Source organism: Homo sapiens, chromosome 12 (assembly GCF_000001405.40).
Source record: "Homo sapiens chromosome 12, GRCh38.p14 Primary Assembly".
Classification (NCBI taxonomy): domain Eukaryota; kingdom Metazoa; phylum Chordata; class Mammalia; order Primates; family Hominidae; genus Homo; species Homo sapiens.
In genome coordinates, this window is record NC_000012.12 from 66,554,806 (window position 1) to 66,570,521 (window position 15,716).

Consider the following 15,716-nt stretch of genomic DNA (forward strand, 5'->3'; position numbering starts at 1 on the left):
TGCCTGTGGAAAGCAGAGGTAGAGTGGGAAGGACTTTTTATTGTGCTTTGGGTACCAGTTCAGCTGCAGTAGAATAGAGCACCAGGTAGCTTTCTAAGGTTCCTGACTCCAGGACCTGGCTCCTGAATGCCATCTCTGAACCCATCCAGGATCCAGAGGAACTCTCTACCCTGAAGGGAACTCTTCACCCTGAAGGATGGCTGGTTCTGCTACTTGCTGATTATAGAGTTCTAGGGCCTTGAGAAAACATAGGTGGTAGCCAAGTAGTGGTTACAGCAGGCCTTAGGTGAGACCCACTGCTGTGCTGGCTTCAGGTCTGACCCAGTGCAGTCCCAGTGATAGTGGCCACAGGGGTGCATGTGTCACTCCTTCCCCATCTCCAGGTGGCTCAGCACAGAGACAGACTCTGTCTGTTTGGGAGAAAGTATGGCAAGACAGTAAGAGTCTCTACCTAGTAATCCAGATAATTTTTCTGGATCTTATCCAAAACCACCAAGATGATGCCTCTATGAGTCTATAAGAGCCATAGCATTACTGGGCTTGGGGTGCCCCCTAATGCAGATATGGCTGCAGTGACCAAAAAATTAGATTCCAACACCCACGTCCCTTCAAATACCTGCAGAGCTCTCCCAAGAAGGATGGGTACAAACAAGCCCAGACTGCGACGACTACAATAAATACTTAACTCATCAATGCTCAGACACTGATGAACATCAATAAACATCAAGACCATCTAAAAACATGACCTCATCAACTGAATAACATAAGGCACCAGGGACCAAACCCAGAGAAATAGAGCTATGTAACCTTTCAGAGAGAGAATGCAAAATAGGTGACTGGAGGAAACTTGATGAAATTTAAGATAATACAGTGAAGAAATTCAGAATCCTATCAGATAAATTTAACAAAGAGATTCAAATAATTAAAAAGAATTGAGCAGAAATGCTGGAGTTGAAAACATGCAATTGACGTACTAAAGAATGCACCACAGTCTGTTAATAGGAGAAGTGATCAAGCAGAAGGAAGAATTAATGAACTTGAAGACAGTCTATTTGAAAATAGAGGAGACAAAAGAAAAAAGAATGAAAAAGGAATAAGGCATGCCTATTAGACCCAGAAAATAGCCTCAAAAGGGCAAACCTAAGAGTTATTAACCTTAATGAGGATGTAGAGACAGATAGGGATGTAGAGACAGATATTATTCAAAGTGATAATAACAGAGAACTTCCCAAACCTAGAGAAATATATCAATATTTAAGTACAAAAAGGTTATAGAACACCAAACAGATTGAGCCCAAAGAAGACTGCCTCAAGACATTTAATAATCAAACTCTCAAAGGCAAAGGAAAAAGAAAGAATCCTAAAGGCAGCAAGAGAAAATAAACAAATAACATAGAATGGAGCTCCAGTAAATCTAGCAGCAGACTTTTCAATGGAAATCTTACAGGCCAGGAGAGCGTGGCATTACATATTTAAAGTACTGAAAGAAAAAAAACTTTTATCCTCGAATAGTATATCTGGCAAAAATTGCTTTAAGCATGAAGGAGAAATAAAGACCTTCCTAGACAAACAAAAGCTGAGGGATTCCATGAGCACCAGACCTGTCCTACAAGAAATGCTAAGGGGAATTCTTCAATCTGAAAGAAAAGGATGTTAGTGAGCAATAAGAAATCATCTGAAGTTACAAAATTCACTGGTAATAGGAAGCACCAAGAAAAACACAGTATAACACTGTAATGGTGGTATGCAAACTTAAGAAGAAAGACTAAATGATGAACCAATCAAAAATAATAACTATGACAACTTTTCAAGAAATAGCCAGTATGATAAAACATTAAAAAAAAAACAACAACAAAATGTTAAAAAGCAGGGGGACAAGTTGAAGTGTAGAGTTTTTGTTAGTTTTCCTTTTGCATATTTGTTTATGAAATCAGTGTTAAGTTGTCATCAGTTTAAAATAATGGGTTATAAGACAGTATTTGCAAGCCTTATGGTAACCTCAAATTGAAAACATACAACAGATACATAAAGTATAAAAAGGAAGAGATTAAAACATACCACCAGAGAAACATTACCACTAAAAGGAAGACAGGAAGGAATGACAGAAAAAAAAATAAGACCACAAAACAACCACAAAACTAATAACAAAATGGCAGGAGTAAATCCTTACTTATCAATAATAACATTGAATGTAAATGGACTAAATTCTCCAATCAAGAGACACAGAGTGGCTGAATGGATAAAAAAAAAGACTCAACTATCTGTTGTCTATAAGAAACACACTTCACCTATAATGACTCATAGACTGAAAACAAGGGATGGAAAAAGACATCCTATGCCAATGGAAACCACAAAAGGGCAGAAGTAGCTATATTTCTATCAGACAAAATAGATTTTGAGACAAAAACTGTGAGAAGAGACAAAGAGGGCTCATTATATAATGATAAAAGGGTAAATTCAGCAAGAGGATATAACCATTGTAAATATATGTACACCCAACACTGGAGTACGCAGATATACAAAGCAAATATTATTAGAGTTTAAGAGAGAGATAGAACTCAATACAATAATAGCTGGTGACCCTACTTTCAGGATTGGACAAATCATCCAGACATAAAATCAACAAAGAAACAATGGACTTAATCTGGACTACAGACCAAATGAACCTAATTGGTATCTACGGAACATTTTATTCAACAGTTGCAGCATACACATTCTCCTCAGCACGTGGATCATCCTCGAGAATAGATCATATGTTAGCACAAAACAAATCTCTAAAAATTCCAAAAAATTTGAAATGGTGTCAAGTATATTCTCTGACCACAGTGGAATAAAACTAGAAATCAGTAACAAGAGGAATTTTGGAAATTCAACAAACACATGGAAATGAAACAGTATGCTCCTGAATGACCAATGGGTCAATGAGGAAATTAAGAAGAAAATTTAAAAATCTCTTGAAACAAATAACATCACAAACACAACATACCAAAACCTATGGGATACAGCAAAAGCAGCACTAAGAGGGAAGTTATAGCTATTAATACTACATCAAAAAATAGAAAACCTTCAAATAAACAACCTAAGAATGCATCTTAAAGAACTAGAAAAGCAAGAGCAAACCAAACCCAAAATTAGTAGCATAAAAGAAAAGAGCAGAAATAAATGAAACTGAAATGAAGAAAACAATACCAATGATCAATTAAAAGTTGTTTCTTTTCTTTAAAGTTAGTTTTTTGAATAAACAAAATTGATAAACCTTTAGCCAGACTATGAAAACAGAGAGAAGACCTAAATAAATAAAATCAAAGATGAAAATGAAGACATTACAGCTGATACTACAGAAACTCAAAGGACCTATATTAGTCCGTTTTCATGCTGCTGATAAAGTCATAACAAGACTGGGTAATTTATAAAGGAAAAGAGGTTTAATGGACTCACAGTTACACATGGCTGGAGAGACTCACAATCATGGAGGAAGGCGAAAGGCATCTCTTACATGGTGGCAGGCAAGGGCGAATGAGAGAGCCAAGCAAAAAGGAAAACCTCTTATAAAATCATCAGATCCTGTAAGACTTACTCACTACCACAAGAACAGTATGGGGAAAACACCCCCGTGATTCAATTATCTCCCACTGGGTCCCTCACACAACATGTGTGAATTATGGGAGCTATAATTCAAGATGAGATTTGGGTGGGAAAACAGCCAAATCATATGAGGACCATTAGAGATTACTATGGGCAAGTATATGCCAATAAATTGGAAAGCCTAGAAGAAATGTATAAATTCCTATATAAATAAAATGTACCAAGATTGAGCCATGCTGAAATCCAAAATCTGAACTGACCATAACTCATAACAAGTAATGAGATTAAAGCTGTAATAAAAAGCCTCCCAGCAAAGAAAAGTCCAGGACCTGATGGCTTCACTGCTGATTTTTACCAAACATTTGAAGAAGAACTAATGCCAATCCTGCTCAAACTATTCCAAAAAATAAAGGAGAGAATACTTCAGAACTCACTCTACAAGGCCAGTATTACCCTGATACCAAAACCAAACAAAGACACATGAAAAAAGAAAACTACAAGCTAATATTCCCAATAAACCCTGTTGCAAAAATCCTCAACAAAATAGCAGCAAACCAAATTCAAGATCACATTGAAAACATCATTCATCATGACCAAGTGAAATTTATCCCAGGGGTGCAAGGATGGTTTAACCTACACAAATCAATCAGTGTGATATACCCACAACAGAATGAAGGACAAAAACCACATGATCATCTCAATTGATGCTGAAAAAGCATTTGATAAAATTCAATATCCCTTCATGATAAAAAAAAAAAAACCCTCAAAAAACAGGGTATAGCAGGAACATACCTCAACATAATAAAAACCATATAAGGCAGACCCACAGCTAACATCATGCTGAATGGGGAAAAACTGAAAGTGTTTTCTCTAAGATCTGGAACTTAGAAAGATGCTCAGTGTCACTACTGTTATTCAACATAGTACTGGAAGCCCTAGCTAGAGCAATCAGATAAGAGAAAGAAGCAAAAGGCATCCAAATCGGAAAGGAAGAAGTCAAATTATCCTTGTTTACAAATGACATGATCTTATATTTGGAAAACCCTTAAGACTCCACCAAAAACCTATTAGATCTGACAAATTCAGTGAAATTGCAGAATACAAAATCAACATAAAAAATCAGTGGCATATCTATATGCCAACAGTGAACAATCTGAAAAAGAAATTTAAAAAGTAATTCCATTTACAACAGCTACAAATAAAATTAAATAGCTAGGAATTAAAAGAAGTGAAAGGTCTTTACAATGAAAACTTTAAAACCTTGATGAAAGAAATTGAAGAGGACACACAAAAAATGGAAAGATACTCCATGTTCATGGATTGGAAGAATCAATATTGTTACGATGTCATACTACGGAAAGCAATCTACTAATTCAATGCAATCTCTATTGAAATATCAATGACATTCTTCACAGAAATAGAAAAAACAATCCTAAAATTTATATGGACCCACAAAAGACCCAGAATAGCCAAAAGTATCCTGAGGAAAAATAAAACTGGATGGATCACATTACCTGACTTCAAAATATACTACAGTTCTATAGTAGCCAAAACTGCATGGTACTGGCATAAAAACAGATACACAGACCAATGGAACAGAACAGAGAACCCAGAAACAAATCCATACACCTACAGAGAACTCATTTTCAACAAAGGTGCCAAGAATATACACTGGGGAAAAGGCAGTTTCTTCAATAAATCATGCTGGGAAAACTAGATATCCATATGCAGAAGAATGAAACTAGACCCCCATCTCTTGCCATATACAAAAATCAAATCAAAGTGGATTAAAGAATTAAATCCCAGACCTCAAATTATGAAAGTACAATAAGGAAACATCAAGGGCACTCTCCAGGACATTGATTTGGGCAAAAATTTCTTGAGTAATACTCCACAAGCACAGGCAACCAAAGTAAAAATGGATAAATGGGATCACATCAAGTTAAAAAGCTTCTGCACAGCAAAGGAAACAATCAATAAAGTGAAGAGACAACCCACAGAATGGGAGAAAATATTTGTAAACTATACATCTGACAAGGGATTAGTAACCAGAATATATAAGGAGCTCAAACAACTCTATAGTAAAAGTTTTAATGTAATAATCCAATTGAAAAATGGGCAAAATATTTGATTAGACATTTCTCAAAAAAAAAGAGAGACAAATGGCAAACAGGTATATGAAATGGTGCTCAACATCATTGATCAGCAGAGAAATCCAAATCAAAACTACAATTAAATATAATAACATCTCACCCCAGTTAAAAGAAAGGGAATAACAAATGCTGGTGAGGACATGGAGAAAAGGGAAGTCTTGTACACTGTTGGTGGGAATATAAATTAGTACAATCACAATGCAGAGCAGTTTGGCGGTTCCTCACAAAACTAAAAATAGAGCTACCATATGATCCAGCAATCCCTAGCAGCATATACCCATATACTGCTAGGTATAAGCCCTAAAGAAAGGAAATTGATATATCAAAGAAATATCTGCACTTCCATATTTATTGCAGCACTATGTACAACAACCAGGATTTGGAAGCAACCTGTGTTCATCAACAGATGAATGGATAAAGAAAATGTGGTACATACACACAATGGAGTACTATTCAGCCCTAAAAAAGAATGAGATCCTGTCATTTGCAACAATATGAATGGAAATAAAGGTCATTATGTTAAGTGAAATAAGCCAGGCACAGAAAGACAAACACATGTTGTCACTTAATTGTGGGAGCTGAAAATTAAAACAATTGAATTCATGGAGCTAGAGAGTAGAATAAAGGTTACCAGAAGCTGGGAAGTTAGCAGGGGAGTGGAAGGAAAGTGAGGATGGCTAATGGGTACAAAAACATTAGAAAGAATGAATAAGATGCAGTATTTGATAACACAGCAGGTGACTATAGTCGATAATAATTGTACATCTTAAAATAACTAAAAGAGTATAATTGGATTGTTTGTAGCACAAAGGATAAGTGCTTGAGGTGATGGATACCCCATTTACCCTGATGTGATTATTATGCATTGCATGGCTGTATCAAAACATCTCATGTACCCCATAAATATATATACTTACTATATACCCACAAAAATTAAAAACTAAAAAAAAAGAAATACTGACTTAAAGAAATAGAAAATTATAACAATATGGTTAGTTATGATTATTTAGAAAAACAAAGGGTTAATCTGGGGCTAAGTTGGGACAGTCACTTGAAAAATATTTGCAAATGGTTCATTATGCCCTAAAAAACCAGCCCTATTGCCTCGCCTCTGGCAAGTCACTAAATCCTTGTGTGCCCTAATCTCTGAACTGTAAAATGAGAGAACTGAAGTATATGGCTTAAAAAAATATATATATTTTATTGACTTTAAGGTGCCAGCGATCGTAAGGCACACTGTTATTTTATTTGCTGCTAAGAAAGAATATGTCTGGGTTTGGTGGCTCATGCCTGTAATCCTAGTAATTTGGGAGGCTGAGGTGGGAGGATTGCTTGAGCTAAGCAGTTTGAGACCACCCTGGACAACTTGGTGAAACTCTGTCTCTACAAAAAGATTTAAAAATTACCCAGGCATGGTGGTGTGCTCCTGTAGTCCCAGCTACCTGGTGGGGGATGTGGGGGTGTTGAGGTGAGAGGATTGCTTGAGCCTGGGAGGTTGAGGCTGCAGTGAGCCATGATTGCACTACAGCACTCCAGCCTGGGTCAGAGCAAGATCCTGTCTCAAACAAAACAAAATAAAACAAAAGAATACGCTGTCAATCAAATTACAACATAATGCTTATCACTAAGGTTGTTTAAGTATTATACTTATTAAATAACTCAAAGCACATGCATGAAAAGAAAAATGTCAGTGAAATAAATCAGTCAAGGTGCTCCTACAACTTTTCCACATTCACCCTCTGAACCAGTGTCACTGATGTCCATATTTTCTATACGATATTGTCCTCATCACCAGTACTTTGGGCACCAAGAGCACTGTGATGCTGCATTTTTTACAGTGCTCTGTTATTGCCCCTTGGATTTTCTTTCAAGCTGCTGAGGCTCATTTGGCAAGTTTCAATTTTTTTGAAAAATTACTTTATGAAGCTTGAAGAAATATTGAGTATAATTAAACTATAATCTAGGCTTATATACAGCTTAATAATAGTTCAGTTCCAAAAGAAAAGCTATTGCAGGTGAGACCGTAACATTTCCCAACACGATTTTAAGACACTGTGCTGATTTCTCAAAACAACTCTGAGGAACCCATATTTACAGTAGAAGGAGTTTTTATGAAAAATCTGGCATTATGTATCTTTGTTGCATGATTATATATGTATGTACGTATAATACAATGTTAGATGCACCATCACCCCCGACCCCCTGCCGCACAGTTGAAAATCCACATGTAACTTTTGACTATCCCAAAACTTAACTATTAATAGCCTACTGTTGACTGGAAGCTTTACTGACAACATAAACACATATTGTGTATGTTATATGTATGATATACTATATTCTTATAATAAAAGAGAATGTTGTTAAGAAAATCATAAGGAAGAAAATATATTTACTATTTATTAAGTGGAAGAGGATCATCATAAAGGTCTTCATCCTTGTCTTCTTCACGTTAGGTAGGCTGAGGAGAAGGAAGAGGAGGGTTGGACTTGCTATCTCGGGGGTGGCAGAGGTGGTAGAAAATCTGTGTTTATGTAGACCTGTGCAGTTCAAACCTGTGTTGTTCAAGGGTCAACTGCATATGTATGTGTGTATGTATACAGTTATACTATATATACAGTATATACACTATATACACTGTGTGTGTGTATATATACACATATAATCCAACATATGGACTGTATATACACAAACACACACATAATCCAACATCATAAGAACTAGAAAACAGAAGTTGTATTCCTTAACATCAGTATTAGAGTGTAGAGTTTGAGGCTTGGATTTAGAAATGCTTTTCAACATGTAGGGTTTGGAAAAGGAGCAATCATCTTGTTTTCAAAACCTGAAGTTTTTCTCAGGACTTATGACCATAACTGCCACAGAGGAAAAAGGGAAGCTTTTCCCACTGTAATTGTTCATCTGTGTCAGAAAGTCCCATATCCTGTGTAGATCTTATAAATATTTTGCTAGATTTATGGCAAAGAGAGACATTGATGCTGCAACTGAAGCAAAACACAAACTTGAAAAAGACAAACAGAAGAAACCCAAGAAAGGAAGGAGAAGGAAATCCAATGGGAGACAAGCTTATTTCATGAAGATGGAAGATGTTGGGTTTATGATGAATCATTACTGAATTATCTTGGTGCTGCCAAGCATTGGGCTAGGAATTTCTATTTACTTGATTTTTTATGTTGTTGCAAATGGTACTGCTTTTTAAATTTCCAATTATGCATTGTATATAATTAAATACAATTGATTTTTAATTGTAAAAAATAAAAAAACAAGAAAGTCTCATATCCCTGAGAAACCATTGCAATAAGAAGGGAATGAACAGGTTCTCCCAAAGGGAGAATGTTTGTTGCTTAATTATGCTTACTGCCCTGGCCATCAGGTATAAACTTTACATTTCCTAGCCCAAGGCTTGGCAGCACCAAGATAATTCAGTAATAGTTCATCATAAACCCAATATCTTCCAACTTCATGAAATAAGCTTGTCTCCCATTGGATTTCCTTCTCCTTCCTTTCTTGGGTTTCTTCTCTGTCTTTTTCAAGTTTGTGTTTTGCTTCAGTTGCCGCATCAATATCTCTGATTTTTTTTCTTAATATTTTAAGTTCTAGGGTACATGTGCACAACGTGCAGGTTTGTTACATATGTATACATGTGCCATGCTGGTGTGCTGCACCCATTAACTCATCATTTACATTAGGTATTTCTCCTAATGCTATCCCTCCCCCCTCCCCCCACCCCACAACAGGCTCCGGTGTGTGATGTTCCCTACCCTGTGTCCCAGTGTTCTCATTGTTTAGTTCCCACCTATGAGTGAGAAGATGTAGTGTTTGGTTTTCTGTCCTTGTGATAGTTTGCTCAGAATGATGGTTTCCAGCTTCATCCATGTCCCTACAAAAGACATTAACTCATCGTTTTTTATGGCTGCATAGTATTCCATGGTATATATGTGCCACATTTTCTTAATCCAGTCTACTATTGTTGGACATTTGGGTTGGTTCCAAGTCTTTGCTATCGTGAATAGTGCCACAATAAACATATGTGTGCATGTGTCTTTATAGCAGCATGATTTATAATCCTTTGGGTATATACCCAGTAATGGGATGGCTGGGTCAAATGGTATTTCTAGTTCTAGATCCCTGAGGAATCGCCACACTGTCTTCCACAATGGTTGAACTAGTTTACAGTCCCACCAACAGTGTAAAAGTGTTCCTATTTCTCCACATCCTCTCCAGCACCTGTTGTTTCCTGACTTTTTAATGATCGCCATTCTAACTGGTGTGAGATGGTATCTCCTTGTGGTTTTGATTTGCACTTCTCTGATGGCCAGTGATGATGAGCATTTTTTCATGTGCCTGTTGGCTACAGAAATGTCTTCTTTTGAGAAGTGTCTGTTCACACCCTTCACCCACTTTTTGATGGGGTTGATTTTTTCTTGTAAATTTGTTTAGATTCTTTGTAGATTCTGGATATTAGCCCTTTGTCAGATGGGTAGATTGCAAAAATTTTCCCCCATTCTGTAGGTTGCTGGTTCACTCTGATGGTAGTTTCTTTTGCTGTGCAGAAGCTCTTTAGTTTAATTAGATCCCATTTGTCAATTTTGGCTTTTGTTGCCATTGCTTTTGGTGTTTTAGACATGAAGTCCTTGCCCATGCCTATGGCCTGAATGGTATTGCCTAGGTTTTCTTCTGGGGTTTTTATGGTTTTAGGTCTAACATTTAAGTCTTTAATCCATCTTGAATTAATTTTTGTATAAGGTGTAAGGAAGGGATCCAGTTTCAGCTTTCAATATATGGCTAGCCAGTTCTCCCAGCACCATTTATTAAATAGGGAATCCTTTCCCCATTTCTTGTTTTTGTCAGGTTTGTCAAAGATTAGATGATTGTAGATGTGTGGTACTATTTCTGAGGGCTCTGTTCTGTTCCATTGGTCTATATCTCTGTTTTGGTACCAGTACCATGCTGTTTTGGTTACTGTAGCCTTGTAGTATAGTTTGAAGTCAGGTAGCGTGATGCCTCCAGCTTTGTTCTTTTGGCTTAGGACTGTCTTGGCAATGCAGGCTCTTTTTTGGTTCCATATGAACTTTAAAATAGTTTTTTTCCAATTCTGTGAAGAAAGTCATTGGTAGCTTGATGGGGATGGCATTGAATCTATAAGTTACCTTGGGCAGTATGGCCATTTTCACGATATTGATTCTTCCTATCCATGAGCATGGAATGTTTTTCCATTTGTTTGTGTCCTCTTTTATTTCGTTGAGCAGTGGTTTGTAGTTCTCCTTGAAGAGGTCCTTCATGTCCCTTGTAAGTGGGATTCCTAGGTATTTTATTCTCTTTGAAACAATTGTGAATGGGGGTTCACTCATGATTTCACTGTTTGTCTGTTACTGGTGTATAGGAATGCTTGTGATTTTTGTACATTGATTTTGTATCCTGAGACTTTGCTGAAGTTGCTTATCAGCTTAATGAGATTTTGGGCTGAGACGATGGGGTTTTCTAAATATACAATCATGTCATCTGCAAACAGAGACAATTTGACTTCCTCTTTTCCTAACTGAATACCCTTTATTTATTTCTCCTGCCTAATTGCCCTGGCCAGAACTTCCAACACTATGTTGAACAGGAGTGGTGAGAGAGGGCATCCCTGTCTTGTGCCAGTTTTCAAAGGGAATGCTTCAGTTTTTGCCCATTCAGTATGATATTGGCTGTGGGTTTATCATAAATAGCTCTTATATTTTGAGATATGTCCCATCAATACCTAATTTATTGAGAGTTTTTAGCATGAAGGTTGTTGAATTTTGTCAAAGGCCTTTTCTGCATCTATTGAGATAATCGTGTGGTTTTTGTCTTTGGTTCTGTTTATATGATGGATAATGTTTATTGATTTTAGTATGTTGAACCAGCCTTGCATCTCAAGGGATGAAGCCCACTTGACCGTGGTGGATAAGCTTTTTGATGTGCTGCTTGATTCAGTTTGCCAGTATTTTATTGAGGATTTTTGCATTGATTTTCATCAGGGATATTGGTCTAAAATTCTTTTTTGTTGTTGTTGTGTCCTTGCCAGGCTTTGGTATCAGGATGATGCTGGCCTCATAAAATGAGTTAGGGAGGATTCCCTCTTTTTCTATTGATTGAAATAGTTTCAGAAGGAATGGTACCAGCTGTTGTTTGTATCCCTGGTAAAATTCGGCTGTGAATCCGTCTTCCAAAAAAAATCCAGGACTTTTTTTGGTTGGTAAGCTATTAATCATTGCTTCAATTTCAGAGCCTGTTATTGGTCTATTCAGGGATTCAACTTCTTCCTAGTTTAGTCTTGGGAGGGTGTATGTGTCGAGGAATTTACCCATTTCTTCTAGATTTTCTAGTTTATTTTCATGGAGGTGTTTATAGTATTCTCTGATGGTAGTTTGTATTTCCGTAGGATCAGTGGTGATATCCCCTTTATCATTTTTTATTGCATGTATTCTCTCTTTTCTTCTTTATTAGTCTTGCTAGCTGTCTATCAATTTTGTTGATCTTTTCAAAAAACCAGCTCCTGGATTCATTGATTTTTTGAAGGTTTTTTTGTGTCTCTATCTCCTTCAGTTCTGCTCTGATCTTAGTTATTTCTTGCCTTCAGCTAGCTTTTGAATGTGTTTGCTCTTGCTTCTATAGTTCTTTTAATTGTGATGTTAGGGTATCGATTTTAGATCTTTTCTGCTTTCTCTTGTGGGCATTTAACGCTATAAATTTCCCTCTGAACACTGCTTTAAATGTCTCCTGGAGATTCTGGTATGTTGTGTCTTTGTTCTCATTGGTTTCAAAGAACATCTTTATTTCTGCCTTCATTTCATTATTTACCCAGTAGTCTTCCAAAACTGACCACATAGTTGGAAGTAAAGCACTCCTCAGCAAATGTAAAAGAACAGAAATTATAACAAACTGTCTCTCAGACCACAGTGCAATCAAATTAGAACTCAGGATTAAGAAACTCACTCAAAATTGCACAACTGCATGGAAACTGAATGTCTCTGATTTTTAAGTTGAAAGTACATCCTTCTAAAGGCAGTGAGATTCATATTTTTTCTGATCTTTCAACTTCCTATCTTCTTCATTATAGACATCTTCTTGGTATCTACAAAGACTGCATTTTCCCCTGTTGCATATTTTGCATACATTACACCATTCCATTCCCCTTCAGTTGAGCAGAAGGCTTCTCATCCTTTGGAGAAAAAAATCACAGTGGTAATTCTGTGCTTCCTGTCCCCAGAGAAAGGTTCAGTGTGGAAGATGATGTTTGCACTATCACCAGTTTTGGAATAATTAATATTGCATTCTCCTCCTAGTTCCATTCAGAGCACTGCGAGGATAGAACATCCGTAAACACTGGGGAATGTGAGGATGTAATGTTTCTCATAGTTAAAACAAAAGACACAGGGCTTGTGGCCCCACCCTATGTTGTGTGTCCCAATTGACATCCTGAGGAATTTTGATTAGGTCCAGATATCACCAATGAATTGAATCTTTCTGATAAACACTCAGCATAAAAGGCTAAAGTAGGTGGATGATGGGAAATCTGTTCAGCTACAAATTTTACATTGTTTTTGGAAACCCAGGGAACTGGTCCTTCTAAAACTAGCTCTGTGTTCTCTTTGGTATCATTTGGTAATATCCATTGACACTGAAAGATCTTGCTAAAATGACTTTTTGACAATTGATTCTTTCCTTCTTGCATGAAAGGCTGAGAGGTACCATTTCACATTCTGAACCGTTCAATCCCTGGTCACCAATGTTCGCAAAAAGGTTGGATATGCAAAAAATGTCTGCATATGCTTCTAAAAGAGATCCTCTTTCAAGAAAAAATGGTGGAAGATCTACTTTAGTAAGATCCATACTAAGCCTAACCTGTGACAAGAAGTGTGTGGTAACGCTCTTATGCTCCTCCATGGACCCTGCCTCCTCCTTGTCAGGTCTCTCATCATGTGAATCAAGAGTCAGCATCACTTGTTCCATTGGATGTGAAAGAATTAAGTGATTCTGTGCTATCTGGGCACTTTAGTCTGTTTTCCGCACTGCCATGTGTCAAGATTGACGCAGATTCAGAAGAATCTATTAAGTGCTTTGGGGATGAGCCATGTTGATGACATTCATCAGCATTGTAGAATTCATCTTCACTGCTGGAATAAGAGAATTCTGGGATTGTATTTAGAGAAGCCATTGACATGGCTTGGAGAAGTTAGACCGCTACTAGGTGGTGAATGGGCACTGCCTCTACTATTTGGTGTTGGAGTCTAATGATGTCCCAAGGCAATTAGTACAGGTCCAACTGGTCAGGAAGATGAACTCTGCTCTGTCTTATGCAGTTGAGTAGGTTCCAGAGGGAGGTGAGACAGTCTGGGAAGGCATTGTGCTGATCACAGGTTCCCAGGGACTAGGTTGATACACTGCATCTACAAGATTAATAGTACTTATAATTCTATCTGCGTGCTTCTCAGCATTATTCTGGTCTTCAGCAGTCTGCATCAACACAGTGCAGTGTTTCATTGATTCCACCATGCTATTTGCTTCTCTTTGAGAGTTTCAGTTTTCTTTCTCTGCTTATTATCTTTGCAGTTTTGAAGCTTGTGATCAAAAAACTTTAATTGTTCTATCAAGATTTGTAGGTGGGCATCAGTCTCTGGAGCGGTGGCTCACGTCTGTAATCCCAGCACTTTGGGAGGCTGAGGTGGGTGGAACACGAGGTCAGGAGTTCAAGACCAGCCTGGCCAAGACAGTGAAATCCCGTCTCTGCTAAAAATACAAAAATTAGCTGGGTGCGGTGGCAGGCGCCTGCAATCCCAGCTACTGGGGAAGCTGAGGCAGGAGAATCGCTTGAACCCAGGGGACAGAGGTTGCCGTGAGCCAAGATTGCCCCACTACACTCCAGCCTGGGTGACAGAGTGAGACTTCGTCTGAAAAAAAAAAGAAGTTAACTTTCCTGTCAAAGTTTTGGACACTAGGAACAAATCCTGAATCCAAATCTCTGGAGGTGACAAGGAAGGAGGCAAGGAAAGTGTGACATCTGAGCCCATAGCCTGGCCCTGGGCAGGCACCAGGGACCATGGGACTCAGGGGTGGAGGTTAGGCCTCTCCCAGACCCTCAGGGTGTACTCACTCCACAAGTGTCCAGCAAGAAAGTAATTTGCAAGACCCCCACACTCTGTGCCTCCAGGATAGAGAGGGGGCTGGGGGCTGCTTCCGAGCACCCCTTTTCCTTCTCCACTTGATTGGATCCTCATTTGGCAAGTTTTGATACTTGTGCTTCTTGAGCTTATGGGAAAGTATCAACAGAACAGTTTAGACAACAGTACATATTCCCTCCTCAGGTTTATTTCAGGTTCTACTCAGTTTCAGGTTTATTTCCTGAAACTTCAAGAAGTTACATTTATCCAATGATATCACCAGGAACTGCAACCAAGTAAGTGCATGCACAGGCAATAATAATAATATTATGATTATCACATGTCTAAGAACAACTATAAAATGCATCCCAGTTCACAGTTGTTAAAATGTGTATGTTGGGGGGTAGTTTGTAGGCATTGCATGTATGTATGTATGTATGTATGTATATATTAGAGACAGGGTCTTACTCCGTCACCCAGGCTGGAGTGCACTGGTATGATCTAGCTCACTGCAACCTTGAATTCCTGGGCTCAAGTGATCCTCCAGCCTCAGCCTCCTGAGTAGCTGGGAATACAGGTGCATGCCACCATGCCTGGCTAATTTTTAAAATTTTTGTACAGGTAGAGTCTTGTTATTTGCTCAGGCCAGTCTCAAACTCCTGGCCTCAAGTGATCCCAGCCTCTGAAAGTGCTAGGATTAGAGAGGCATGAGCCACCACACCGGGCCTCAACTGAAATTCTTCCAGAGAAGATAGAGACCAAATAGGCATATCTCTAAGTCCTAGGTCCCATCTTCAGTTATGCTAGTCAGTTTTTTCCTCTTATTCCTCCACATAAG

At 37.9% G+C, this 15,716-nt stretch overlaps 1 protein-coding gene and 2 pseudogenes across 22 annotated transcripts in view; 1 reads left to right on the forward strand and 2 right to left on the reverse strand.

The window, feature by feature from the left end:
- GRIP1 (glutamate receptor interacting protein 1) overlaps positions 1–15,716 on the reverse strand; it is a 721,908-nt gene that overhangs the window by 207,375 nt on the left and 498,817 nt on the right. The gene's annotated exons all lie outside the window — the stretch shown is intronic.
- Positions 8,441–14,762, reverse strand: OSBPL9P4 (oxysterol binding protein like 9 pseudogene 4; annotated as a pseudogene).
- On the forward strand, positions 8,719–8,889 carry OSBPL9P5 (oxysterol binding protein like 9 pseudogene 5; annotated as a pseudogene).